This window comes from Homo sapiens, chromosome 11 (genome assembly GCF_000001405.40).
Source record: "Homo sapiens chromosome 11, GRCh38.p14 Primary Assembly".
Taxonomy (NCBI): Eukaryota; Metazoa; Chordata; class Mammalia; order Primates; family Hominidae; genus Homo; species Homo sapiens.
Window position 1 is genome coordinate 125,613,355 of NC_000011.10, and position 27,856 is coordinate 125,641,210.

At 39.2% G+C, this 27,856-nt stretch overlaps 2 protein-coding genes and 1 long non-coding RNA gene across 22 annotated transcripts in view, besides 3 other annotated features; 2 read left to right on the forward strand and 1 right to left on the reverse strand.

Moving 5' to 3' along the window:
• Positions 1-9,737, forward strand: part of STT3A (STT3 oligosaccharyltransferase complex catalytic subunit A) — a 31,323-nt gene extending 21,586 nt beyond the window's left edge. For all 7 annotated transcript variants that reach the window (XM_047426897.1, XM_047426895.1, XM_047426896.1 and 4 more), the window contains 5 exons: positions 733-849; positions 970-1,072; positions 5,019-5,207; positions 6,657-6,772; positions 7,418-9,737. In XM_047426897.1, the coding sequence (XP_047282853.1) occupies positions 733-849; positions 970-1,072; positions 5,019-5,207; positions 6,657-6,772; positions 7,418-7,456 (564 nt within the window). In that variant the 3' untranslated portion in view covers positions 7,457-9,737. The remainder of the gene's footprint in view (positions 1-732; positions 850-969; positions 1,073-5,018; positions 5,208-6,656; positions 6,773-7,417) is intronic.
• The window catches only part of CHEK1 (checkpoint kinase 1), a 55,989-nt gene continuing 39,914 nt past the window's right edge, over positions 11,782-27,856 (forward strand). For 3 of the 14 annotated variants that reach the window (XR_007062447.1, NR_045204.1, XM_011542560.3), the window contains exons 1-7: positions 11,782-12,658; positions 13,395-13,479; positions 15,878-15,942; positions 16,037-16,106; positions 19,809-19,997; positions 22,075-22,179; positions 24,095-24,190. Coding sequence is in view for 11 of the 14 variants with exons in the window: in XM_011542560.3 (XP_011540862.1) it covers positions 12,407-12,658; positions 13,395-13,479; positions 15,878-15,942; positions 16,037-16,106; positions 19,809-19,997; positions 22,075-22,179; positions 24,095-24,190 (862 nt within the window). In the remaining 3 variants the exon portion in view is untranslated. Of the gene's footprint in view, positions 13,289-13,394; positions 13,480-14,252; positions 14,477-15,877; positions 15,943-16,036; positions 16,107-19,808; positions 19,998-22,074; positions 22,180-24,094; positions 24,191-27,856 lie in introns of all 14 variants that reach the window. The other 11 variants (NM_001114121.2, NM_001244846.1, NM_001114122.3 and 8 more) reach the window with 10 other exon arrangements.
• Positions 11,783-12,540, reverse strand: LOC118567325 (uncharacterized). The gene has a single exon (NR_170378.1). It is a non-coding gene; the product is annotated as an uncharacterized LOC118567325 (long non-coding RNA).
• Positions 11,975-12,484: an enhancer, noted in NCBI's record as "active region_5700". NCBI's record gives its function as "activates an Ori minimal core promoter by ATAC-STARR-seq in GM12878 lymphoblastoid cells {active_cell/tissue: GM12878}" and the evidence as "EXISTENCE:reporter gene assay evidence [ECO:0000049][PMID:35858748]".
• Positions 13,301-13,844: an enhancer, noted in NCBI's record as "NANOG-H3K27ac-H3K4me1 hESC enhancer chr11:125496550-125497093 (GRCh37/hg19 assembly coordinates)". NCBI's record gives its function as "activates a minimal SCP1, AML or CMV promoter by ChIP-STARR-seq in naive H9 embryonic stem cells {active_cell/tissue: H9 hESC(naive)}" and the evidence as "EXISTENCE:reporter gene assay evidence [ECO:0000049][PMID:30033119]".
• Positions 13,405-13,454: an enhancer, noted in NCBI's record as "active region_5701". NCBI's record gives its function as "activates an Ori minimal core promoter by ATAC-STARR-seq in GM12878 lymphoblastoid cells {active_cell/tissue: GM12878}" and the evidence as "EXISTENCE:reporter gene assay evidence [ECO:0000049][PMID:35858748]".

The window sequence follows — 27,856 nt, forward strand, 5'->3', positions numbered from 1 at the left end:
AGTTACTCTTACTAGTAATTATCTAGACTTTGCATGCACACTTTTATTGATATGATGATTTTAACATGAGGTAGAACATCCCAGTTATAAAAGAAGAAAAAAGTTATAGATAAATAATACATGTTCACTTTAGAAAAATCAGAAAATTGAATCAAGAAGAAAGATATAAATCTTGTGTAAAGTGATCACCTTATGATAACTGCTTTTAACATTTTAATTTATATCTTTTGAGAATCTGAAGTGATTTCCTTTACAATAACTATTAGGAATATCATTTCTGAGACAATTTGTTAGGAATAAAAACTTTTAAGAGTCTCTTAATTCTTGTCCATCGTATCATGTGATTTGAGTTTCCACCCCATCTTTATAGTAAGTGATTTTTGCAATTCTGTTAAAAGGTTATTTAAGAAAATTGTCTAATGACACTAGGCTATTGATGTGGCTACATTGCACAGTCTCCCACACCTCCCACCCCATTATGTTAGTATAAAGTGACCTGGGATGAAGTGTTGGGAATGTTGGTTTGTTATTTGTGCTGAGATTTTATAATTGTATATAAATGGAAGACCAGGTGCCAGGATTTATTTTCTGGTTTGACATGCATTACTTTGTGAAGAAATTGATTAGTTAGCCAGGTGTCACTTCTGTCAGACCAAAGATGCCTTCTCTGTTGCATTTGATTTTTAGAGACAGTGAGAAGCTTGTTATTTCCATTTCCCATTCTACTTTCAGGATGCGAAGGTCATGTCCTGGTGGGATTATGGCTATCAGATTACAGCTATGGCAAACCGAACAATTTTAGTGGACAATAACACATGGAATAATACCCATATTTCTCGAGTAGGGCAGGTAAGATAAAGGGATGATCTTTGAGTGTTTGGTGTACAAGGTCTAATGGGAAATGTGTCTGCATGAGGGGATCATATGACTTGGGATTTTGCTCTGAGAATTGTACATTTGTTTTTCCAGGCAATGGCGTCCACAGAGGAAAAAGCCTATGAGATCATGAGGGAGCTCGATGTCAGCTATGTGCTGGTCATTTTTGGAGGCCTCACTGGGTATTCCTCTGATGGTAATATACTTGATTCTGTTTCTAGCTGCAGGACATAGATTCTAAGAAAACTAGATGAATATCCTAGTTTTCTGTACTTTTACTAATATTTTACTAAGATATTTTTCTTTCATGGGAAGTTCCTAAGTATTTGCAACTTGAGGTTTGGGTATTTTGATTTTTTTCTTTTTGTAACAAGAGGACATAAATGTAAACAATTCTTGTGTAGGTACAGCATGCTATATGATTGTCTAAGGCATAGAAGTAGTTCCACAACCAGTAATAAAACCAAGCTGAATATAAGGCTCATGACAATGAACTTAAGAATTAGCATTTTTTTAGTGGTTTTAAGCCATATAATCATTGACCAGCTTAGAAATGTTTTATATGGCCTGACAGCGTGTAAAAAAAGAGAACATTTTATATATATATAAAATATATATAAATAAAAGTGTGTGTAAAATGGAGGTTACCATGTGCCCTATGATTATTGGCACAAAGATTTTTAGAAGAAACATCCAAATATAGTTATCTGCCTTAAAAGTTAATGTAATGCCTGTTTACACTTTAAAAAGTTAAGCAGTTCACAGCCGGGTGTGGTGGCTCACACCTGTAATCCCAGCACTTTGGGAGGCCAAGGCGGGCGGATCACTTGAGGTCAGGAGTTCATGACCAGCCTGGGCAACATAGTGAAACCTTGTCTCTACAAAAATTAGCCAGGCGTAGTGGCACATGCCTGTAGTCTTAGCTACTCAGGAGGCTGAGGCAGGAGAATCGCTTGAACTCGGGAGGGAGAGGTTGCAGTGGGCTGACATTGCGCCATTGGACTCCAGTCTGGGCAGCAGAGTGAAACTGTTTCAAAAAAAAAAGTTAAACAGTTCTGAAGGTTTATAATAAAAAGTGATAGTTCACTGCCCAAAAATCTAAGCCCCCTTAACATCAGTCCCCAGAAGCAATGATTCCTGCAGCTATTTCTTCTAGTACTTACATGCATATTTCTAAATACTGTGTATACAGTTTCCCCTCCATATCCGTGGGTTCTGCATCTGTGGGTTCAACCAACCACAAATGGAAAATATTTGTGAAAAAAAATCATAATACAACAATAAAAATCATACAAATAAAAAATACAGTATAACAACTATTTACATAGCATCTACACTGTATTAAGTATTATAGGTAATCTAGACATGATTTAAAGTATATAGACAGATGTGCATAGGTTATATACAAATACTATACCATTTTATATAAGGGACTTGAGCATTTGTGAATTTTGATATTCTGGTGGGAGGGGATATATAAGTTAGACTTTTTATTTTTTAAAGAAGATAATACGATAACCATTAAAAAACAATGCAGAGGCCGGGTGCGATGGCTCATGCCTGTAATCTGAGCACTTTGGGAAGACTCTTGAGGTCAGGAGTTTGAGACCAGCCTGCCCAACATGATGAAACCCCGTCTCTACTAAAAAAATACAAAAATTAGCCACATGTGGTGGCACATACTTGTAATCTCAGCTACTTGGGAGGCTGAGGCCAGATAATCACTTGAACCCAGGCAGCAGAGGTTGCAGTGAGTTGAGATTGCGCCACTGCACCCCAGCCTGGGTGACAGAGCGAGACTCCATCTCAAAAAAAAAGAAAAAAGAAAAATGCAAAACACTGTTACTGTCTAGATCCATGAAAACATGTATGTGAAGATCATAAAAGAAGATAGTGTAGTTGTCCCTCTGTATCCATGGAGGATTGTTTCCAGGACACCCCCACCCCTATCCTCACCCCTCACCAGGATACCAGAATTTGTGGATGCTCAGGTCCCTTATATAAAATGGTTTAGTATTTGTATATAATATACACACATTCTCTTATATACTTTAAATCATCTCTAGATGATAATACTAATCCCTAATACTAGGTAAATGGTTGTTAATACTGTATTGTTTAGGTAACAATGACAAGAAAAAAGTCTATCCATCTTCATTACAGATGCAGTCATCTGTTTTTTTGTTTTGTGAATATTTTTGATTAGAGGTTTGTTGAATTTATGGATGTCAAACCCACAGATATGGAAGGCCAACTGTTTTGGTTAATTTGTTACACTGAATTTATTTTTCAAGGTCAAATTATTCATTGGGCTTTACTAATAGGAGTTCTGTAACATTTGAGAGGCATAATAAAAATAAAAAAAGTTGGGCCTGGCCCAGCTTCTTTTTTTGTAGACAACCATATCTTTTGAACAATGGGCTCTCCTTGATGCAGTTCCTATCATCATCATCATTATTGTTTTTGAGACAGAGTTTCACTTTGTCACCCAGGCTGGAGTTCAGTGGCACGATGTCTGCTCACTGCAGCCTCTGCTTCCCATGCTCAAGTGATCTTCCCACCTCAGCCTCCTGAGTAGCTGGGACTACAGGCACACACCACCATGCCCGGCCAATTTTTATACTTTTTGTAGAGATTGGGTTTCGCCACATTGCCCAGGCTGTTCTTGAACTCCTGTGCTCAAGTGATCCGCCCATCTCAGCCTCCCAAAATGCTAGGATTATAGGTGTGAGCCATCACACCCAGCCATTCCTATTATTTTCACTCTTCCATTCATAGAGCTTATGAGGTTTTTGCTTCAGACATACCTGCCAGGCAGCTACAATACTATTGTTCTATCATAGCCGAGCTGATGTTCTGGGGGTTTATTTTTGTTCCTGTTTCTGGCGCTATGATCTAGGCAAGTCTCTGTGCCTCAGTTTCTCCATTTGTAATATGAAGATAAGAATGCAGACACTGAACGAAGATAGTAATATTATTCATTGGATGTTTACCATGTGACAAACAACTTACTAAATGCTTTACATGTTGTTACTCATAATAACAGCCCTATTGTTGTAGATACTCTTATTTTTCTAATTTGACAGATGAGAAAACTGAAGCACAGAGAGGTTAAATAACTTGCCCAAGGTCACCCAGCTAGAATTGGCAGTGCTGGAATTCAAACTTAGGCAGTTTGGATCCAGAGTCTGTTCTTAACCACCGTGATATCCCCTCGAACTCTTTGCAGTAGTGCAATAGGAATCTTATCTTTTTTTATGCATTAGAAATATTTTTAATACTAACCATCCAGTGAAACATGTAGCAACTGATTTCCCTAAAGCCTGTGCAAGCAATACAGTAAATGATGAACCCTAAAAGAGATATCATGAGTTGATGATAGTGTCAATATTTATTAAGCATGGGAGTGTGTTTGACACAGAAATGTTGACTTCTCATATACCTGCTTTGGAGGTCTATAATTTTGCAGCTGTTGGTCAAGAATGAGAAGACTCATGTCTTGTCTACCTTTTTGGTAAAGCTACTACTCTTTAGATCAGTCGTGCCCACTGTCTAATAGAAATAATGGGAACCACATTATCATTTTAAGCTTTATATTAGTCACATCAAACTAAGTATAAAGAAACAGGTGAAAGTAATTTTAATAATTTTAACTGAATAGTCATATCAAAACATTATTATTTAATTTAACATGTAACCAGTATACCCCCTTTTGGGGTTTGTTTTTTTTACTAACTTTTCAAAATCTAATGTGTATTTCATACTTACCTAGTGTGTATTTTATACTTACAGTACATCTTAATTTGGACTAGCCACATTTCAGCTGCTCAGCAGCTATATGTAGCTAATTGCTGCTATATTTGATAGCCTAGCCCTAGCTAATCTATAGGACCAATCTCAGTTGTGGCTTAAGTCTGGACTAGTAGCGTAGGATTTCAGGAGTATAATAATTTCTCAGAAAAGTTGTATATTTTGACGAAAAATGCTTTGCCCGTATGTTGTCCTCACTATTTTTACAAATTAGAGTTAAATGATACCAATCCCCATTAAAAAAATGTTGAGGAATTTTCTTAGAAATACTAACCTGCTTTAACTCCAGCAACTTTTGTGATGCAGCAGTTCTTTTTTTTTTTTTCTCCTAGATATCAACAAGTTTCTTTGGATGGTCCGGATTGGAGGGAGCACAGATACAGGCAAACATATCAAGGAGAATGACTATTATACTCCAACTGGGGAGTTCCGTGTGGACCGTGAAGGTTCTCCAGTGCTGCTCAACTGCCTCATGTACAAGATGTGTTACTATCGCTTTGGACAGGTTTACACAGAAGCCAGTGAGTGACTCATAATAATATTAATAACAGTAGTAATAATAGTGATTACTAATACACAGTATTTTCCATATGCCAAGCACTAGTAAGTGCTTTGTGTCTGTTAACTCATTTAATCCTCACAGCAACCCCAAAGGCATATACTGATATTATTGTCATATTACCTTTATTTTTGTTGTTTGCATATTTTTTTGAGACAGGGTTTTTGCTCTGACACCCAGGCTGGAGTGCAGTGGTACAATCATGGCTCACTGCAGCCTTGATTTCCTGGGCTGAAGGAGTCCTCCTGCTTCAGCCTCTTGAGTAGCTGGGACTAAGGTGCACACCACAATGCCTGGCTGTTTTTAAAACTTTTTGTAGAGATGAGGTCTCACTATGTTGTCTGGGCTGGTCTGGAACTCCTGAGCTCAAGCAATCTTCTTGTCATGGCCTCCTGAAGTACTGGGATTACAGACCTGAGCTACTGCACCTAGCTATTGTTATTTTTGTTTTGTTTTGTTTTGTTTTTTGAGATGAAGTCTTGTTCTGTTACCCAGGCTGGAGTGCAGTGGCACGATCTTGGCTCACTGCAACCTCCACCTCCCCGGTTCAAGCGATTCTCCTGCCTCAGCCTCCCGAGTAGCTAGAATTACAGGTGTGCTCTACCATCCCCAGCTAATTTTTTTTTTTTTTTGTATTTTTAGTAGAGACATTGTTTCACTATGTTGGCCAGGCTGGTCTCGAACTCCTGACCTCAAGTAATCCACCCACCTCGGCCTCCCAAAGTGCTGGGATTACAGGCATGAGCCACCGCACCCAGCCTGTTATTTTATATATGAGGAAATTGAGGTACAAATAGGTTATTTAACTGCCTAGTGTCACATAACTAATGGCAGAGTCAGGATTCAAACTGACAAAGAGTGGCTCCAAATTCTGTGCTTTTGACCGTTACTTTTTATTGTCCTTAAGGGTATTACAGTGAAGACAGGAACAAAAGGGAAAGAAAGTGACTTTTCGTATCTTCTGATGACTACATTGAGAGTTATTTGATTAGGTTAAGTCTCTCCTTCTGACTTCAATTTCTTGATTCTGTACTAGGGAGAATTTCTGACATGAATGCAGGTCTTTGACTTCTGGTAGGCTTTTTTCTCTGATCCATGCAAGGGTTGCTAGTGTATTAGAGGCTCTAAATGACAATCCTCAGGAATAGAGGGCCTTGGAAGTCGGCTCCCTATGTCTGTCTTATCAGAGATAAGACATTGACTGGCAAGCATCATCTTGCATAGAACTTAAGCTAGGGTAACACTTGATTTGCCCTTACTACCTCATGCCCTTTTTTGCAGGCTCTACTCTCAACAAATTGCAGGCTGAGGAATAATCATCAATTAGTAGATGGTTTCCTGAATCCATATACTGTCTCTCTAGGAAATTAGCACTGTAGAAAGAAGTGTGTTCTTTTTCATCCCTCTCTAGAGCGTCCTCCAGGCTTTGACCGTGTCCGAAATGCTGAGATTGGGAATAAAGACTTTGAGCTTGATGTCCTGGAGGAAGCATATACCACAGAACATTGGCTGGTCAGGATATACAAGGTAAGCAGATGCTATACGTCTCAGAAAGCAACTTTTATTTTTGGAGATTGGTTTCAATGCTTATAAAATGGGACATATATTTCTCAAATAGGGAAATTTCTCATGACACCTGTGCTTGAAAAGTAGCTTGCAAACTCACTGAAAATTTTACTTATTTTAGATTGTTCTTAGAGAGTAGATGATCCCAGTCTGCCATCATTTTGGCGGTTGTTGCAGTGATACTTTTCCAGCTGGGGCTTGACTAAACCAGTTTCTGTGATTATCAGGCTCACGGGTGGGGAGAGTGCAGGAAATAGAGAAAAAGTTCACATGTTTATATTTAGCTACATTTTCTTCTCTCTCTGAAGAACTTAAGGTATATAGAGTCATATAGAACCACATAGGAGTATATCTCTCATATAAGAAAAGATTGAGAACCCTTGATCTATGTGGAGGGTAGATCAGTAATATTGGTCCTCACAGAGGTATTCCAAAAGGCTAAGCAGAGAGAATCTAGTCTCTAGTCAGTGCTTGTGTATTCACAGCCCTAAACCAGGCTGCAGAACCCAACATAATCCTGCCCACTCTGGGTGAATCCATTTTAGTAGAAAATTTCTCCAAAGTTGATCTGATTGTAAATATTAAACTGACATCTTTATGTTGCAGGTAAAGGACCTGGATAATCGAGGCTTGTCAAGGACATAAATGTCACGTCCAGCTCTGATATGCTTCGCACTGAGCACATCACATTTAGGACGTTGAAGATTTTTTTTTTTTTTTTTTTTTAATATGCAGTTTGTAAGAACAAAACTGGATGGCATCAGAATTGTCTGGAAGTTTTGTCTTGGGCAGTATGGGCTGGGCCAAATGAAATGATTTTTATAATTCTAAACAGGTTACCAAATGAAATGTCATGGCTTTACTTTGGTCAATTAAAGGGGGGAATTTTTTTAAAAAATGTGCCTTATTTGTTTTGACTTATAACTGATTTGAGGGAGGCAAAAGCTATGCTAGGCTGCCAGAAGGACATAAGCAGACCTTGTCCATTCTCTTAGCTCCCTAAATTAGCCAAATAGAGACTTCTTTCTCAAATCAGGAAAACTATCAAAGACCAATTCAGATCCTACATTTACAGACAGTTTTGTCATAACCCTTTGCATTGCAGCACCTAGTACAATTCCTTGGAAACAGCGTGGCTCAATAAATTTTTATTGAATGAATAAATGTGGGACCAGAAGAGTGCTAGAAGAGTGCCTTTCTGGGCTACTATGTCTCTGTTCTCAATGTCTTTTATCCTTAGACGCTCTTTGACTTTATAAATCAGCAGTTTTGAAGACTCAAGACAAACAGTGAAATTATTGGTTTATCAATGGAGAGGAAGAAACTCTTCCAGCATTACATATAGAGCTTGATGGTCAGTAGGTGTTTTTGAATCAGCTTAAATATAATCATACATATCAATTTGAAATGGAGCTTTTCAGTACTCTCACTTATTCATGACACAGGAATGACCCTTTACTCAAAACTCTTGTGGTTGTTCAAAGGTGAGCTTCTTTTTCCCTTAGTCTTAGCCTATGTGTTGCTGTTGTATATTGTTACCAAGTTCAACTACCTAATTTTGAAGCTCTTTCCAAATAAGATACAAATTAAAAGGGGAAGCATTGCCAGTAACAGGTCCCTAGAGAGCAGTGCCAGCCTGCCTGCAAGAAAAGAGGAGAAACTTCTTAAAAAGTTTTAAGCCTGGGCAACATAAGGAGATTGTTTCTATGAAAAATAAAAATTAGCCAGGTATGGTGGTGTACACCTGTAGTCCCAGCTACTCGGGAAGATGAGATTGGAGGATCACTTGGGCCTGGGAGGTTGAGGCTACAGTGAACTGTGATTGTGCCACTGTACTCCAGTCTGGGCGACAGTGAAATCTTGTCTAAACAAAAACAATTTAACTGGGAAGCACAGTGGTCCTTGAGGACATTTAATATCAGGACAAAGAGCCTATGAATATATCACTGATGTATATAAACCCTAAGGCGTTAATAAAAGCTAACTGTTTAGTGTTATCCATTTAAGGGAACAGGAGGAATTGCATAACTTTTAGATTAGTCATAGTGGTGCTCCTAAGGGATATGCTGTTGTATATTTGTATAGCCAGGGCACTTAGCCTTCCAAACCAATTTATATACCATGTTCTTCAACTGTGGGTGAGATTTAGCCTCAAGATTTGATTTACTATATGTAAGTACATTACTTGATTTCTATAAAGAATCTTTAGTGGAAGAGGTTATTCTGAATTATTTATCAATATGATTAATACCAGTTAGAAATTATTAATGATCTTCCTTTATACTATACATAGGATAACTTTTAACTTGTCGCTACAGTTGTTGCTCTGAGGATCTTAATTTTGTTACTTTCTAGGCTACATGAAGCTATCTTTTTAAAAAGTGTACTCTTCATTTTCACTGTTATTGTGTACTTAGCATAAAAAACTCAAATCTAGGCCAGGTGCAGTGGCTCATGCCTGTAATCCCAGCACTTTGGGAGGCTGAAGCATGCGGATCACTTGAGCCCAGGAGTTCAAGACCAGCCTGGGCAACATGGCTAATGAACACTAAGCATAGTTTTGATGTCTTTCATATTAAAGACTTTCTCAAATTCTTGCTAGTCTGCTCCTCTTTAAGAGTGGGACCCTAGGCAGGGCGCAGTGGATCATGCCTGTAATCCCAGCACTTTGGGAGGCCGAGGCAGGCAGATCACTTGAGGCCAGGAGTTTGAGACCGGCCTGGCAACGTGGGAAAACTCTGTCTCTACTAAAAATACAAAAATTAGCTGGGTGTGGGGTACACACCCTGTAATCTCAGCTACTGGGGAGGCTGAGGCATGAGAATTGCCCAGGAGGTGGAGGTTGCAGTGAGCAGACATCATGCCACTGCACTCCAACCTGGGAGACAGAGCAAGACTGTCTCAAAAAAAAAAAAAAAAAAAAAAAAGAGTGGGACCCAAAAAAGCTGATTGAAAGGTCTGTTTGTAGGGGGTGTAGATGGGGATTAATAATGTGGGTTTCAATCTACTGTGATCTGGCTGGGCTGTTACATTGGGAAATCCATGATACTGATTTTTAGATTTTTATCTTTTGCATAGGTAAGATTCCCTTGAGAAGGCTTGCATATTCTCTTACTCAAGGATGTAAGCCAGGCAGTCAGCTTTCTGGGAGTAGAGTAGGGAAAGAAGTTGTAACAGGCTCAACCTTCAGTGGATAAAACTTAAACTTAATCCCTCCGTTTTCAGTAAGGTGCCCAAGCTTTTAACTGTGCCTAATGGTCTCCAGTTCACATACTGTGCATTTACCCTCTTAAATCTCGTACCAGCTTTGGGGAGGGACAGTTCCTTGGTTACATAGAAAGGGAAGGGATACGGGGATCTATTTGTTTTTTATGTAGCCTTTAAACCTACCCCTTTTAGCCCCATTTTTACCTCCACCTTCAGTTACCTGGTGTCACCAGTTCAACTTGAGCTTTTTCAGAGTTCTGTGATGTTAATTCTGCTTTCCATTGCTAGCTTTGGGATTCATCTTCATTACCTTTCATCTAAAGGCTTTCTGCTTTCCAAAATGTGTCTCATACTCTGTTCTTATGGGTTCTTTTAAATATTGGTATCCTTTACTATTAAAATATTTTAGTGGGCTTTCAGAAGAGAATAGAGGCTATTTCTATGTATTCTGTCTTTAACTGGTATTCTGCTGGAGTCTGTATATCTTTTTTTTTTTTTTTTTCAGGCTAAAAAGACTCCATCAGACACACAGGAAATTTGCAGGTCTTCCTCTTCGTATTCTTTGTTTTCAGCACACAGTGAGGAAACAAGAGAAAATGGGATAAATGATATAAAAACTTGCTTTTATTTTTATACCAGGCCCTGTGGCTCGCTTCTGTAATCCCAGTGACTTGGGATGCTGAGGTAGGAGGATCACTTGAGCTCAGGAGTTCCAGGCTGCAGTGAGCTAAGACTGCCCAATTGCACTCCAGCCTGGGTGACAGAGCAACACACCCTGTCTCCAAAAACAACAAACTGTAAAAAGATTACATGAAGCCTAATCTGTGATGTCATGATTCAAAACTATACACATAAGCATTTTAAGAGTTTTTTCCTTGATTTTTGTTCCTGACTTTGCTTCTTTAAAAGAAATGTGTGTTTTTGTTGTTGGTTGTTTGTTTTTGAGACGGAGTCTTGCTCTGTTGCCCAGGCTGGAGTGCAGTGGCACAATCTCTGCTCACTGCAGCCTCTGCCTCCTGGGTAGCTGGGATTACAGGCACTCGCCATCGTGCCCGGCTAATTTTTGTATTTTTAGTAGAGACGGGGGTTTCACCATGTTGGCCAGGCTGGTCTTGAACTGCTGACCTCAGGTGATCCATACGCCTCAGCTTCCCAAAGTGTTGGGATTACACGTGTGAGCCACCAGGCCCCGGCCTTGAGTAACATTTTATACTTGTTTCACTTTACTATTATCATAATAGCCAGTTATGCTTAGTGTTTGTATGTGGCCCAGTCTTAAGGACTAAGAAAATATATATGTATATATATAAAATATATACATATAAAAAAATATGTTTTTTTCCTACGGAATCATGCTGTTGCCCAGGCTGGAGTGCAGTAGTGCTCACTAACCTCTAACTCCTGGACTCAAACGATTGTTCTGCTTAGGCCTCCCAAGTAGCTAGGGCTACAGGGACACACCACCAAGCCCGACTAATTCCTAAATTTTTTTATTTGTAGAGATGGGGTCTCCCTATGTTCCCCAGGCTGGTCCTGAACTCCTGGCCTCAAGCCATTCTCCTGCCTCGCCTTCCCAAAGTGCTGGAATTACAGGCAGGAGCCACTGCGCCCGGCCAGTGCTGGAGAATGTAATGGAGATGATCCTGCCTATCCCTGAGTTCCAGTCTAGTTTACTGTCAGAGAATACTTATTTCCATTTTTCCTATTTTGTTCTTGAGTCTCTTTCCTCAGAATTTACTTTTCCACTTAAATGACGTACGCAGCTTTTAAATTTGCGTTGTAAGATTTATTTTGGCTCTCCCCGCCTGTTCTTTGCACATTAAAAATGAAAAAGTTTGTAGAACTAAGCTAAGCAGATGGTCTTCCTGCAAAAAGACCGGGCTGAAGTAAAGCATTGTTTTGGAGCTGGTTCACAGAAAAAAGGCAAAACTGGTTATCCTGACTTCAAGCTCCAACATAAACTGCTCGCTTTCTCCGGGAAACTTGCCCCGCCACACACACTTGACTGCGTGGCCAGTTCTTTCGAAGCCTCTCGCTCCCAACACGGAGTTCCTCCCATTTCTTCACAGTCGGCTCTCAGCAGCTGCTGCTGGTTTCTCGGCTCCAGCACCACGAGTACCGCACTCTGAGGTTTACAAAGCACTCTGCTTCACCGACTGTGATCCTCACAGTCCTGTCCGGTGGCCTCACGCAGGTGGCGGTGCAGCCTTTCAGGCCCAGAGCGGCCAGGAGCGAAGCCCGCAGCCCCGCCTGGAAGCGCAGCGCGGTCGGTCGCGCGCCCCTGAGGCTTGGAGGCCTGGGCTTCCCCCAGCAGCGCTCGAGCACCGCCCAGTCGAGCCTCACACCGGATGCCACTTCATATTTGGGCCCAGAGCTCAATTCGCGCCGATGCGGTCCGCCGTCCTTAAATCTCTTCAGCCAGGATCTCTCCCCGACTGCAAAGCAGCCCTGGGCGGGAGCGGCAACATCTCCACGTCACCCTTTTGGAGCCGCCGACATTCAGAGGGGCAGGACACGGGAACGCGCGCTGTCTTGCTTTACGGCGCGGGTGCGCGAGTTTGCGGCAGCGTGACGCCCTCAAGTTTTGGCGGGAAAAGCGCTGCATTTGGATTCCTGCAGTGGTGGGCAAAGGACAGTCCGGTGAGGAAGGGCGGCCGGTAGAGTAGGGAAGGTTTCTAAAGAAGGAGTTCGGGGTCTAGATTAGTGAGGGAGGGCATGGTGGGAGAAAGTTAGCATTGACTAGCGCAGGGGATTGGAGAGACTCCTGCGGAGGGGCGGTTTCGGAGGGTGGAGGAATGGTACCAGGAGGTTCCCGTTGTGGGGGCGGGGGCAGGAGGGACTAACCCGCTGCTAGCTAAGAACCCCAAGGAAGAGTCCCAGCCCTTCCTTTCGCCTCTGGGGGCAGTTTGGCCCCGCCCCGGCCTTTGGGACGGGTGGGGCTGTGGATGGGGATGGGAATTGGAATTGAGCAATTGGGAGGAGGCGCTGCCGCAGGCGTTTTCTGCCCCATACCGCTCCCTATATCCTCTTCCTCTCTTCCCCAGACCCCCACCTCTCCCTCCTCCTTCCCCAGTCGTTCGCCGGAAAGCATTTGTCTCCCACCTCTTCATAACAACAATTAATTTCCTCTGGGGCCTGAGGAGGGCAGAATTTCAACCTTCGGTGTGCTTGGGAGTGGCGATTGTGATTTACACGACAAAATGGTCAGGTTTAGAATAGTTGTTCGTGGTTGAAAGACTTGGATAAATGTGGATGAGATAGAAGGGGAAGGCAAGAGCTGTTAATTTTCGTGGGCAATCCTGGGGAGAGGCGGGGCTCAGTGGCTTCACTGGTGATCTTACACTCTACATCTTTTCTGGATTCCTGCCTTTTACAGCCGAGGTGCTCGGTGGAGTCATGGCAGTGCCCTTTGTGGAAGACTGGGACTTGGTGCAAACCCTGGGAGAAGGTGCCTATGGAGAGTGAGTTCTTTTAAGCTTGCCTTCGTTTTCTGAGTGCATATTCATTGTTTTGGAGTCTCACACTCTGGTGATTTAGAAAGTAGATGTTTGAGATCCAAGGGTTTTGGCAACTGAAGTTACACAGCCTTTTGCTAGGATTAAAAATTTTTTCCTTCCCTTTAAAAAAAAAAGTTTTCTTTGTAGAGAGCTGGAAGGGACACGAAGTTATTGTTTCCATGCCCACAAATTGCTTCTCAGGGTTTAAGCATTGCGGTTAATGAGCAAATGAGCAGACTCTGGAGATTGCCTGCCTGGTTTCAGATCCTTGCTCTATCACATACTGGTCATTGTTTTGTGATCTTAGGCAAGCTTCTTAATGTCATTGTGTACCTCTCCTTCACTACCTTTAGGGTGGCAATAATCGCATCTACCCCATAGGAGCTTAGGACAGTCAGTTACACAAGCACATATAGTATGGGATTAATGCTCTTAAAAGTATATGAGTAGAACATGTATATATGTGATGTGGCTTAGAATTATCTCAATCTATTTTATGAAGCGTTTATTAAATGACTTGTGTGACAGCATAATGACGTCTTTGGAGGGTTAGCTATTGTATTTCACATTTTAGAAAAGAGTAGTGTGTGTTGAGAACATAGCAGAAACCACTTCCTTGGTTTCTCCTTTGTGGAAAAAGTAATAGAGGTAAAATCGTTTTGGATGAGTCATGTTTAATCTTTGGAAGTTTTAGAAGAAATGGAATTCTGTAATGTTAAAACTCTTTTCCTTTTTAGAGTTCAACTTGCTGTGAATAGAGTAACTGAAGAAGCAGTCGCAGTGAAGATTGTAGATATGAAGCGTGCCGTAGACTGTCCAGAAAATATTAAGAAAGAGATCTGTATCAATAAAATGCTAAATCATGAAAATGTAGTAAAATTCTATGGTCACAGGAGAGAAGGCAATATCCAATATTTATTTCTGGAGTACTGTAGTGGAGGAGAGCTTTTTGACAGAATAGGTATGGAAGAAATTTAAGATAATTATTTTAAACAAGTTTTTAAATTTGTTTTTTAAATCTTGGGCATGCTATTTGGTCGTTGTCCTTTCAAAATTGCTCATGCAACTGTGAAATTGGAATACATTATCTTTAAAAAATTTTTCCACCTGGTGTTAATAACATAAAAGCATATATAGAGTCAATGAAAGAAAACTTCTTTCCCAAGTTATATAAGTGATTTTGATTTAAGATTGGTGTCTTACAGAATTTAAGAGTGACAAACAAGTTTTATGGTACATCATAAATGCAGTGTATCCTAAATGCAATGTATTGCCTACACAATTTTTTCTTTGTAGACATTCTAGTTACATGAAATCATTGTATACATTTTATACATTTACAGATCTAAAATAGCATGCTGTTTCCTCTTGGTTTACATGAAATAATTGAGAATTTTCTAGGATTGCTTTTTGTATATTAAGTAAATTCTATGTTTGCTATTAATACTTAAATATTCGATGTAGAATCAAAGGATTGATATTTCAGAACACTGAGAAGTACATAAAATCTGGATCTAAATTTATAATTTAAATTTATAATTTAAAGCTATTGTATTAAATAAGTTTATCAGTTAAAAACTGATAAAGAGGTATTAGGATCTCCAGTGTGACTCAGGAGAGAGTTGAGGGTAAAAGAAATGGAGTTAATGAGAGAGATCAAAATATAAAAAGATAACTGATAAAAGAACTTTCATAATAAAACTGTTTCACGAAGGACCTCACAGGCATTTGTGGTTTTGTACTGTGAGACTATATGAAGTTTAAATCTGAGCCAGGTGTGGTGGTACATGCCTGCAATCCTAGCTACTTAGGAGGCAGGAGGATTGCTTGAGCTCAAGAGTTCCAGGTTACAGTAAGTTATGATCTCACGCCAGGGCACTCCAGCCTGGGTGAAAGAACAAGACCGTATCTCTAAAAAAAGTTAAATTATAAAAGAAGTATAATCTGTAAAATATTTAGTGAAATTGGCTTAGATTTGCCCAGACTTCCCCTTTGGCATTATATTTCAGGAATGAGAAAAATAATTAGCATAGCATTTAGAAGAAATGGGGGGAATTTCAAGGTTACTAAATAAATCAGGGTTAGTATAAGAGGAAGCAGAGGCTTTGAAGTCATGGCTTGCATTCTTGATTTGGATATTGGTTTTCTCTTTATAATTTTTCTGTGATGACGCCTTTTGCCACCTAACACAGGTAAATGTGAGTTAAGCCCCATATGTGTTAGTGGACTCCTGAATCTTTTGTTGGCATTTGCTTCTGTTTGCCTAAGCACATTTGTAAATGTCTAAGCTTCAAATTAAGAAGCTATGTGGTTGCTACCTGATTATATTTAGTCAATAAACTTACTTTCATATTTGTTTTAGAGCCAGACATAGGCATGCCTGAACCAGATGCTCAGAGATTCTTCCATCAACTCATGGCAGGGGTGGTAGGTATAGTTGTCTATTTCCCTTTTACTTAAAATTAGAGTGAATACATTACATTACCAAATTCTAGTGTGTTTCTCTCTGCATCCCTCTTAGGTTTATCTGCATGGTATTGGAATAACTCACAGGGATATTAAACCAGAAAATCTTCTGTTGGATGAAAGGGGTAAGTTTAGCATTTTATCACTACCTAAAATAAAATAAAATAATTACCTAAATTATTTTAATTACCTAATTATTTTAATATAGCCATACAAGGCAAAATCAAGTCTTTTTGCATTACTGGAATTTCAAGACAAGATCTGAAAAATCAAGGAAATTTTGGAGACTTCGTATATTTGGAAATCACAAGTCTCATTTTGCAATACAAGTGCGGATCAGGTAGAGAAATCTGACCTAGGTGCAAGCCTAGCTCACTATATGTATAAGAATAATTTTTTTTTTTTTGATACAGGCTCACTGTGTTGTCCAGTCTGGGGTGCACTGTATTATCACAGTTCACTGCAGCCTTGACCTCCTAGGCTCAAGCAATCCTACCATCTCAGCTTCCCGAGTAGCTAGGACCAACCACAGGCAGGTGCCACCATGCCTGGCTAATTTTTGATTTTTTGAAGAGGTGGAGTCTTCCTGTGTTGCTCAGGCTAGTCTTGAACTCCTGGACTCAAGCAGTTTACCAGCCTTAGCCTCCCAGAGTGTTGGGATTATAGACGTGAGCCACCATGCCTGGCCAAGAATAGTTTAAAATAATCCTTTAATGGATTAATAAAGGGAAGTTCCTGTGGAATACCCTGGACCTTAGTCTTGTCCTGTTCACTCTTTTTTTATGTATGACGTGGATAAAAATGTAAGAAATTTAGTTATATTTTCTGAATGTCATCAAATTGAGAAGGATGGATAGCGAAAGCTTTAAGCTTACAGGGTCAGAATCAAAAAAGAAATGTCAGCTGTATGAGGCAGTAGTTTTTGTCTGGTTTAATGCTTTATTCTTAGTATTAGAATAGTGCTTAACAAATGGTCAGCTTTTTTTTTTTTTTGAAACAGAGTCTTGCTGTGTTGCCCAGGCTGGAGTGTAGTGACATGATCTCGGCTCACTGTAACCTCTACCTCTCTGGTTCAGGTGATTCTTGTGCCTTAGGCCCCTGAGTAGCTGGGATTACAAGCCTGAGTCACCACACCTGGCTCATTTTTATATTTTTAGTAGAGATGGGGTTTTGTCATATTGGCCAGGCTGGTCTCGAGCTCCTGGCCTCAAGTGATCTGCCTCCCTTGGCCTCCCAGAGTGCTGGGATTATAGGTGTGAGCCGCTGTACCCAGCCTATACATGCTTTTTTCTTATGTGCATATGGATTTTACTTTTTACCCCTTTAAACTGAGTTTATATGACATAAAAATCTTTATTTTTATTTAAAACTTTAAAAATTCAGGTACACAAAAATTCTTATGTATTATAATGAAATGTAAATATATGTATATCAACCCACCTGGTTTAAAAATACAACATTATTCGTATATAAGAATGCTCACAGTGGTGATGTTTTTAATATAGCAGGAAACTAACCCAAATGTCTGTCAACAATAAATTATGAAATGCATGGCTTTTCAAGCCATGTCACAAGCAGTGACACAAGCATGTCACAAGCAGTGACATGGATGAATTTCAGGTATATAATGATGTAGAGCAAAAAGAGACAGTTGCAAAAGAATTCATATGGTCTGATTCTGTTTATACAAAGTTCAAAAATATGTAAAACCTAGTATATTGTTCAAGTATGTAAACATGGAGAAAAAAACATGCAGAAAAGCAAGGGTATAATAAAACCAAATTCAGAATGGTCTAAGAAAGTAGGGGAGGGAATGTATTTAAGGAAGTATTTAAAGATTTCAAAGGAAATAGAGCATTGTTTTTCTAAAGTGAGTGGGTGTTTATTACATTGTTATTCTTTATATCTTGTATTAATATACAAGATATAATTCTTTGTTTCTATTTAATATTTAGGAGTCTTTTAAAAAAAGAAATAAAATGTTACCAGTATTTAATGTCCTCCTGTTTATTTCATCACAAATATATTCTTCCTTTGTTTTTCTAAGAGCTAAACACATTCCTACATTTAAATTTTATTATGTGCAGTTCTCTAACATAGCTGAGTATTATGTTGCAGACATAACAAAGTCCAAGGAATACTATAGTTATCCATTAGTATTTTAAGTGATTACTACTCATAAGTAATTTGAAACTCAATCTCAGTGGTTTGTCCAATAGTGTCATATTTAACTACTGAAAAGATAATCAACTGGGTGCAGTAGCTCATGCCTGTAATCCCAGAGGCTGAGGTGGGACGATTGAGTGATTCTAGGAGTTTGAGACCAGCCTAGACAACATAGACCCTGTCTTTATGAAAAATTAAAAAAAAAAATTAGCTAGACATGGTGGTGCACACCTGGAGTCCCAGCTACTTGGAAGGCTGAAGCAGGAGGATTGATCACTTCAGCCTAGGAGGTCAAGGCTGCAGTAAGCTGTGATCACATCACTACACTCTAGTCTGGGCAGCAGAGTGAGACACTTTCTCAAAAAAAAAAAAAAAAAAAAAAAAAAAGGGTAATCACAGTAGCTACCTCCTAAGTCAGATAGAGGTAAACATTTCATTGGTTTACATATTGTGTGAATGTACTTGATTTTTAAAGAAATCAGTCCCCTATTTTGAGACATTTAAGTTGTTTCTAACTTATAAAATAGGACAGTGATGGCTTCTATCAATTTGTGTAAAAGGCCAATATAAAAATTGCGTCATGCTATAATATTTTTTATGCTATAATATTTTTTATGCCATTAGCCTTTTTGTCCCACTTACACACTATTTCATGTTAGTATGTATAGATATACCTTGTTGATTGTTTTCAAAACCTACCTCCACATTTTCCATTGTACAAATTTGGACATTTATTTACAAATAATATTGCTATGAATATTCTTATGTTTATGAATTTGTGGGATTATTTCTATGGATATAGAAGTGGGAATTGCTAGTTCAAAGAGTGAATGTTTCACAGTTTAGTATGTTTTGCCAAATTGCCCTCTGATAATAGAGGGCCTTTTCTAACTCTTAAGACTGGGTTACATTCCTTTGCTCTAAGATCCTATAGTGCTCTATATTTTTATAACCTTCATAACAGTTTTCTATTGTCAGTCTTCACTAATTTATCTATTACCTGCATTGGCTGGCATAGTGTCTGTCACTAAGTTACAGTAGATATTCACTAAACATAAGTTAAGTCCTGCCTGCAGTTTTTGTGTGTTGAAGATGGGAAGTTAGGGTGGAAGTTGGGTCTTCTGATATTTTTTTTTTGTACAGAGTTTGTCCTCTTTTTCTCAGACTCTCTACTTTGAAGAAAAAAATTACTGTGGTTTGTTGAATTTTGGTGTGTCTTCACATATTTTCTTCTGCCAACTGGGTTTGTTTGCTGCTGAGAAAGTTGTGCCTAACATACTACTGATGTTTCCTTCCTGCCCTCCACCCTACCTGATGAGGGGCCTTGCTTTACTTTCATCTCAGGTTTAGAGTGCTCTTTTCCAGAAGGGCAGCCCCTTCTGACTCCAGCCTCTTTCTTTAATCTGGTCCAGACTGTTCTGTGTGTTGATAATACTTCTTTTAAGTTAATAGAAGAGGTGAGGCCTTTTTCTACTTTTAGCATAGATGATGATTTATTTTATTTTTTTAAATTTCTTTTTGTCTATTTTGCTTATTTTAAGAGAAGTTCTACAAACCTTAAGTAACACCAGTGATTTTTTTTCAGTAAAACTTAATTCCTGTAAGTATATCTATTTGCAAAACATTTTTATTCAGTGTCATCTTTTTTTCTTTTGGTTTAGATAACCTCAAAATCTCAGACTTTGGCTTGGCAACAGTATTTCGGTATAATAATCGTGAGCGTTTGTTGAACAAGATGTGTGGTACTTTACCATATGTTGCTCCAGAACTTCTGAAGAGAAGAGAATTTCATGCAGAACCAGTTGATGTTTGGTCCTGTGGAATAGTACTTACTGCAATGCTCGCTGGAGGTAAGAGCTATTTAATCATGGTAAAACTCCTATAAAAAGTCAGATTAGTTATACTGAAATAAATGAAATAAACCAAGGAATTCATGTTTATATAATAGTTTTTGTTTTCTTTTTTAAGAGACAGGGTCTCACTCTTGGCCAGACTGGAGTACAGTGAGCTGTTATAGCTCACTGCAGCCTCAAACTTCTAGGCTCAAGCAATCCTCTGGCCTCACTCTTCCAAGTAGCTAGGACCAGTGGTGCCTGCCACAAGACATCTGGCTAAGTTTTAAAAATTCATTGTAGAGATGGGATCTTGCTGTGTTGTCCAGGCTGGTCTTAAACACCTGGTCTCAAGCAAGCCTTCTGTCTTGGTCTCCAAACTGTTAGGATTAAAGTAAAGACATGAGCCATGGTACCCAGCTTTTATAGTAGTATTTTAATAGTGTCTTGATCGGTTTGGTAACTGCTGTAACAAAGTATCATAGACTGCATAGCTTATAAACAGCAAATTTATTTCTCACAGTTCTGGAGGCTGAAAATATGAGATTAGGGGTGCCAACCTGGTCATGTTTTAGTGAGGGCCCTCTTCCTGATTTGCAGATGGCTGTCTTGCTGTGCTCTCTCATGGTGGACAGCCAAGAGAGCAGAAGCAAGCTCTATTGTGGTTTTTTTTTTTTTTTTTAGACCAGAGTCTTGCTCTGTCACCCACGCTGGAGTACAGTGATGTGATCTCAGCTCACTGCAACCTCTGCCTCCCAGGTTCTAGCAATTCTGTCCCAGGCTCCCAAGTAGCTGGGATTACAGGCATGCATCATCACACCCGGCTAATTTTTGTATTTTGAGTAGAGACAGGGTTTCACCATGTTGGCCAGACTGGTCTCAAACTCCTGACCTCAAGTGATCCCCCAACCTCAGCCTCCCAAAGTGCTGTTTTTTGGGTTTTTTGTTAAATGACCAGATGTTGTGAGATATTGTGTCTGTTTTTTGTTTTTTTGTGGTTTTTTTTGAGACAGGGTCTCACTCTATTGCCCAGGCTGGAGTGCAGTGGCACAATTCAAGGCTCACTGCAGCCTTGAGCTCCCAGGCTCAAGCGATCCTCCTGCCTCAGTCTCCTCAGTATCTGGGTCTACAGGCGTGCACCACCACACCTGGCTAATTTGTTGTGGGTTTTTTTTCACAGACGGTCTCTCCATGTTACGTAGGCTGGTCTTAAACTCCTGGGCTCAAGTAATCTGCCTACCTAAGCCTCCCAAAGTGCTGGGATTATATAATTAGTGCCCTATAAAGATACAATATTGTCCGGGCACACAAGCCCTTATTAGACATTAATAAGCTCTTAATAAGAGCACTAATACCATTTTTTGAGTGGTCCCATCACCAGGACCTAATTACGTCTCAAAGGCCCCACCTCCGAATGCCATTGCATTATGAGTTAGGATATCAACATGACTTTTGAGGGGGATACAAATATTTAGCACATTGCAAATAGTAACTTATTTATAATCCCAAAGATTTTTTAAGCTAAGGCATGCATAGTTATTAAATATCACAACACTTATCTCTCCTGTGTATCATGTAAACATTTGTGAAAACAAGACTAGGGCAAGAAATGATTCATCTGTTTTTTGGTTTTTTTTTTTTTGAGACAAAGTCTTGCTCTGTCGCCCAGGCTGCAGTGCAGCAGTGTGATCTTGGCTCACTGCAGTCTTGACCTCTTGGGTTCAAGTGATCCTCTCACTTTAGCCTCCTGAGGAGCCAGGACTACAGATGCACACCATCACGCCCAGCTAATTTTATTTATTTTTTGTAGAGATGGGGTCTCACTATGTTGCCCAGGCTGGTCTTGAACTCCTGGGCTCAAGCAGTCCTTCTGCCTCAGCCTCCCAAAGTGCTGTGATTACAGGCCTGAGCTGCCATGCCTATCCTGATTCATCTATCTTTGAAGTGCCTCTAAAGTTTCCAAGTTGGGATTCTTAGTGTGAAAACCATATTGAATTAATTCAAAGGAAACTTTTCATGGATTTATATTATTATTTTTCCTTGAAATCTTTATAATAAGAACATTTAAAAAAACTGGGACTTGCTTTGTTTTTAGAATTGCCATGGGACCAACCCAGTGACAGCTGTCAGGAGTATTCTGACTGGAAAGAAAAAAAAACATACCTCAACCCTTGGAAAAAAATCGATTCTGCTCCTCTAGGTAACTGAATTATCTTGAGTGAAAGAGTACCGATTTCTTGGATATGAAGTCTTGTGCTATTTGAATTTTTTCTTACTTTTTTTTTTGTTTTAAACTTACAAATAATTCATGTTCGTTGTAGATAAAATAGTAACTATAAGTAAAAAATTAAGGAAAAAATAACTCTTTAGTCCCAGAACTCTGCAATAGATTTTTAAAAATATTTTGGGGAGTGTATATTCAGAGCAACTTGAATCTGCTCTTAGATGGCTTTTTACTTAAAGTTTTCATATGTGCTATACTTTGTTGCAAATACACTCGTTTGTTGCTTAATTATAGGGATGCACTCTAACAAATGTTTCATTAGGTGGTTTCATCATTGTGTGAACATCATAGAGTATATTTACATAAATCTAGATAGTATAGCTTACTATAAATCTAGGCTATTTGGTATACCCTATTGATCTCAGGCTGCAAACCTGTACAGCATGTTACTATACTGAGCACTGTAAGGAATTGTAACATAATGGTATTTGTGTATCTAAGTATAGAAAAAGTATAGTAAAAATACAGTATTATAATCTAATGGGACTGTCTGTTATACGTGTGGTCCATTCCTGACTGAAACATCATTAATGTGGCCCATAAGTATGTAAAATGAATATATGTATATTATTTATATGTGTTTTTATACAAAATGAGATCACACTAATAATATTTTGTAACTGTTTTTGGTTTTAGTGCGCAGCGAACATTCTTCCATGACTATAATTGTAGGTCTACATCGTTGGTTTAAAGGCTGTGATAATATTCTGCCATGTGGATATGCCTTACTTTACTCTTTTAATCACTTTGTTGGAGATTTTTCTAAATTTTCACAGATACAAAAGAGATATAAGTATCTGTGTAACTTAATCATGACACATACCCTTAAATTGTTCATTGAAATCCCCAGAAGCAAAATTGCAGGATCAAGGATGTAGTTTTTATTATTATGGCTTATTTTGTCAAATTGCTTCCCGAAAGTTCGAACCATTTCATCACAGTCTCATCAATTTACATTAAGGAAAAAAACTTTAAATAATAGTTTTTCATTTTTATTTTAAATTTAATACTAATGAAGTTGTATACCCTTTATGTATGTATTAGTTTTTTGTCTATTTTGCTCATTTTTGTCAAGGATATTGTTTTTCTTACCACTTTGAAGCTTTTTTTTTTCCTTGATAACACATTGACCTTTGCACTTGTTACAAATACTTTTCACAATTTATCATTTATTTTCATTTTGTTTTGCTATATTGACATTCAAATCTATTATCTTGTCCTTTGTGGTCCCTGACTATAATTTCTTTGGAAAGGTCTTCTACCTCTACTATTTAAAAGTTCCCTATGTTTTCATTTAGTGTTTTTATGGCTTCATTTTTCCATTTAAATCTTTGGTCCATTAGGAAATAATCTTCACATAGGAAGATACGTGAATTTTTTCTCAAGAAAATTAAGATACCTTAGGATGGTTAGTTAGATTACTGTCTCTTAAAAAGTTATTGGTAAGTAAATGTTCATTATAAAACTGTGTGAATAAGGAGGTCACGTGAGAACATGACATTGAAGTAATGAAATTCGGTATTGAAAATGGATAAGAGGGGTTTCTGTATCTTTTTGTTAATCTCGTCACATGAGGAGAAACATTTCCATCTGGCTCTTGTTCTCAGTTGCAAACAATTGAGAATCAGATCAGGGAAGACTACTCCAAGATACAGCAGCAGAGAAAAACTGCATGAAATTAAAGCAGTAATTTAGTAGCTTTAATTCTTTCTCTTCCCCAGGAATAATATTTAGACATAAGTAGGCTAACAGAAAATGTGTTTCTTACCTCAAGCCATAGGCTTCTCTAACATGATTCTTTCGTGAATGTTGTCGTAATGTTTGTTTTTAGCTCTGCTGCATAAAATCTTAGTTGAGAATCCATCAGCAAGAATTACCATTCCAGACATCAAAAAAGATAGATGGTACAACAAACCCCTCAAGAAAGGTAATATCCTTAAACTACAAGTTTGTTTGTTTTTCTGTGGAAGAAAAGGTAATTGCAAAGTTATTATCACAAGTCAACAACACATGATAGCTATGATCTCTGTCCTCATGGAGATTATAATGTCCAGTAGAAAAAAATACAGAAATAATTTTGTTTATTAATAATTATAAAGGGGAAAGTCAGGGTACTATAGCTAAGTGTTTGACCAAGTCTAAGGGACAGGGAAGACTTTTCTTCCTGAAGAAATTACATTAAATCTAAGATTTGAAGATTAAAGGGAAGCTAGGCAGGCAAAGTAAGTGGCAGATTTGATTCTGAACAGGGGAAGCAGTATTTGAAAAATCTTAGATTTTAGAAAGTCTGATGCTTTTGAGAAACTTGAAAGATCAGTATGGCACAAGCCGTGTCTGTTGTGTTCATCATTGTATCATCAGTGCTTTAGCACAGTATATGGTGCACCATAGGCACTCATTAAATATTTGTTGAGTGAGTGAACAGGGAAGTGGGAGAGGAAGACAGGTTTGAGATGAGGCCAGAGAGGTCGCTAGTGGCCAATTTGTGGAAGAAGACCTTGTAAGCCATGTTAAGGATTTTGGGCTTTAACTTAAGACCACTGGGGAGACCTCTGAGAGATTTTAAGCAAGACTATGACATAGTCATATCTTCGGTTTAAAAATATTTCTCTGACTTCCTTATTTTTTTTCCATTGTTTTTTATGAATAGGGAAAGATTCAGGGTGCTGTAGGTTTTTCTGCTAGTTGTCTAGAAGTGGGAGGCTGGTGGCTTGGAATAGGTTAGGGCAATGGTATTGGAGAAATGAGATGATTCCAAAGAAATTTAAGAACTAGTATTGATAGGACTGTTAGGCTGTGAATGGAAGGAGAGAGGACAATGACTAGAGATGATGAATGAAAAACATTCAGAGAGTTATTAATGTTTAACTCTGTCCTCATGGATAGAAAAGAGTTAATGTTTAAACATTCACTCTTCTTTAATACCTCTCTGCATGTTTCTTCCTCCTTGTCCTAACTTAAAGTCCAATTCTCCCCTGAGGACACTGCTTCCTCTGAAGCGGTAGGTGTTTTCTTTCCCATACCCTCATGTCCTTTGATCTGGACATGGTACAGGTGTCCTCCTTATTCTTCATTGTCACTTTCTCCCATCTTCCTTTATGTCTCTCCCCTCTAACTTTTGAACCCCAAATTAAAATTTCTGCCGTACTATCACAGTCTGCAAAATGACTCTTGATGTTATTTTCGTCATGATTCTTGGTGATTTAAATATTTATTTGGATCATCCTCCTGATATCCTGACTTCACTGTTTCTTGACCCTCTCTCCTATAGTGATGTTGTCTTTGAACACGCTGCACTGATCACCAGTATAATTTTTTCTGACTTCCTCCCTTAATATTCTAACTTAAACAGTCCTTTGTATCTGGACTTGCAATTAATTAATTCTATCTCTTCAGTCTCTTACCTGCTCCCTCTCTAGGTCCTTGATTTCATCTTTACCTATCTTAAATCTTTAGGTTAGTCATTATAAATGACTGCTTTGCGTTCATCATCTTCAATTTCCTTGTCCCCTTCTCTCTTCATCATACTTAGTGGGTAAAACCCAGTAAGTAGTTTCTGGGTTTAATCTAGTAGTTTTCTACGTACTGCACACTTGTACCTGCACAACAGATTGCAGCAGGAGAAAAATACCCAAAAATGTTCACTTTAAATTCAGGATTACTAATCTCAAGTGGGCCCTTAATGCTTCCTGGCATTTGGCCTTCGTTTCCCCACATCTTTCTCTGTCCTGTTCTCCTAAATCACGTTTTTATAATACTTTTCTCTTTTTTTTTTTTTTTTTTTTGAGACAGGGTCTAGGCTGGAGTGCAGTGGCGCCATCTCCACTCACTTCAACCTCTGCCTCTCAGGTTCAAGCGATTCGATTCTCGTGCCTTAGCCACCCGAGTAGCTGGGATTACAGGTGTGAACCACCACACCTGGCTAATTTTTATATTTTTAGTAGAGGTTTTGCCATGCTGGCCAGGCTGGTCTCAAACTCCTAGCCTCAAGTGATCCCCCTGCCTCAGCCTCCCAAAGTGCTGGGTTTATAGGTGTGAGCTACTGTGTCTGGTCCCTTAACTTTTATTATCTTCTCTCCATCCTCACTCTCAGTTGTTCACTTTGCTTCCTGTGTCACTGGGAAATGAAAGCCACAAGAGAACTTAGGCAAGCTCCCACCACCATCTCCTCCATACTAACTGCCTCTATGCTCATGTATTCTCTTTCATCCTGTATTGCTGTAGATAAATTGCTCTGGATGTAAGCCAGGTCTTTCTCTTACCCACTCAATGACTTTGTCTAGCAATTTTTCTCCCTCTCCTACATTATTAATTTTTCCTTCTCTACCGGATCTTTCTCATCAGCATATCTACATGCTTTTTCTCCCATTTTAAAATCAAATCATAATGGTAATAAAATTTCTCTTAACTCCACTTTTCCCTACCATTCCATCTTCTTCACAATTGAATATTCCTAAAATTGCTTCTCATCTCTAACACCTCAAAACTAGTTTTCAATTTCATCTATTTTGTTGCCAAGAGTCACAGTGATTTTTGGAACGTGTTGCCAAGTTCAATGTAATAGTCCACTGTGGTCAACCGAGGTCTGAAAAGATTAAATGGAAAGTACCAGAAGTAAACAATTCATCAATTCATGGGTTTTGGCCGGGCGCGGTGGCTCACGCCTGTAATCCCAGCACTTTGGGAGGCCAAGGCGGGCGGATCACGAGGTCAGGAGATCGAGACCATCCTGGCTAACACGGTGTCACCCCGTCTCTACTAAAAATACAAAAAATTAGCCGGGCGAGGTGGCGGTCGCCTGTAGTCCCAGCTACTCGGGAGGCTGAGGCAAGAGAATGGCGTGAACCCCGGGGGGCGGAGCTTGCAGTGAGCCGAGATCGCACCACTGCACTCCAGCCTGGGCAACAGCGAGACTCCGTCTCAAAAAAAAAAAAAAAGAAATTCATGGGTTTTATTTATTTATTTAATTCGAGACGGGATCTCGCTCTGTCGCCCAGACTGGAGTGCAGTGGCGTGGTCTCCACTTACTGAAACCTCTACCTCCTGAGCTTAAATGATCCTCCCATCTCAGCTTCCCGAGTAGCTGGGACTACAGGTGTGAGCCACTATGCCCGGCTAATTTTTGTATTTTTGGTAGAGATGAGGTTTCGCCATGTTGCCTATGCTTTTCTACCAAAAATACAAAAATTAGCCAGGTGTGGTGGTTCACGCCTGTAATCCCAGCTGTTCTCAAACTGCTGGGCTTAAGCAATCCACCCACCCCGGCCTCCCAAAGTACTGGGATTATAGGCATGAGCCACAATGCCCTGCCATAGGTTTTAAATTGTGTGCTGTTCTGAGTAGCATAATAAAATCTTGTGCTGTCCTACTTCATCTCACTTGGGATGTGAATCACTCCTTTTTCCAGTGTATTCACGTTCCATGTGCTACCTGCTTGTAACTCCCTTAGTAGCTGTTTTGGTTATTAGATCGAAAGAACATATATAGGGTTTGGTACCATTTGTACTTTCAGGCATCCACTTGAACATATCCCTCTGTGGATAAGGGGGGTACTACTGTAGTCAGTTCTCAGACCTCTTGTTTTATCTCATCA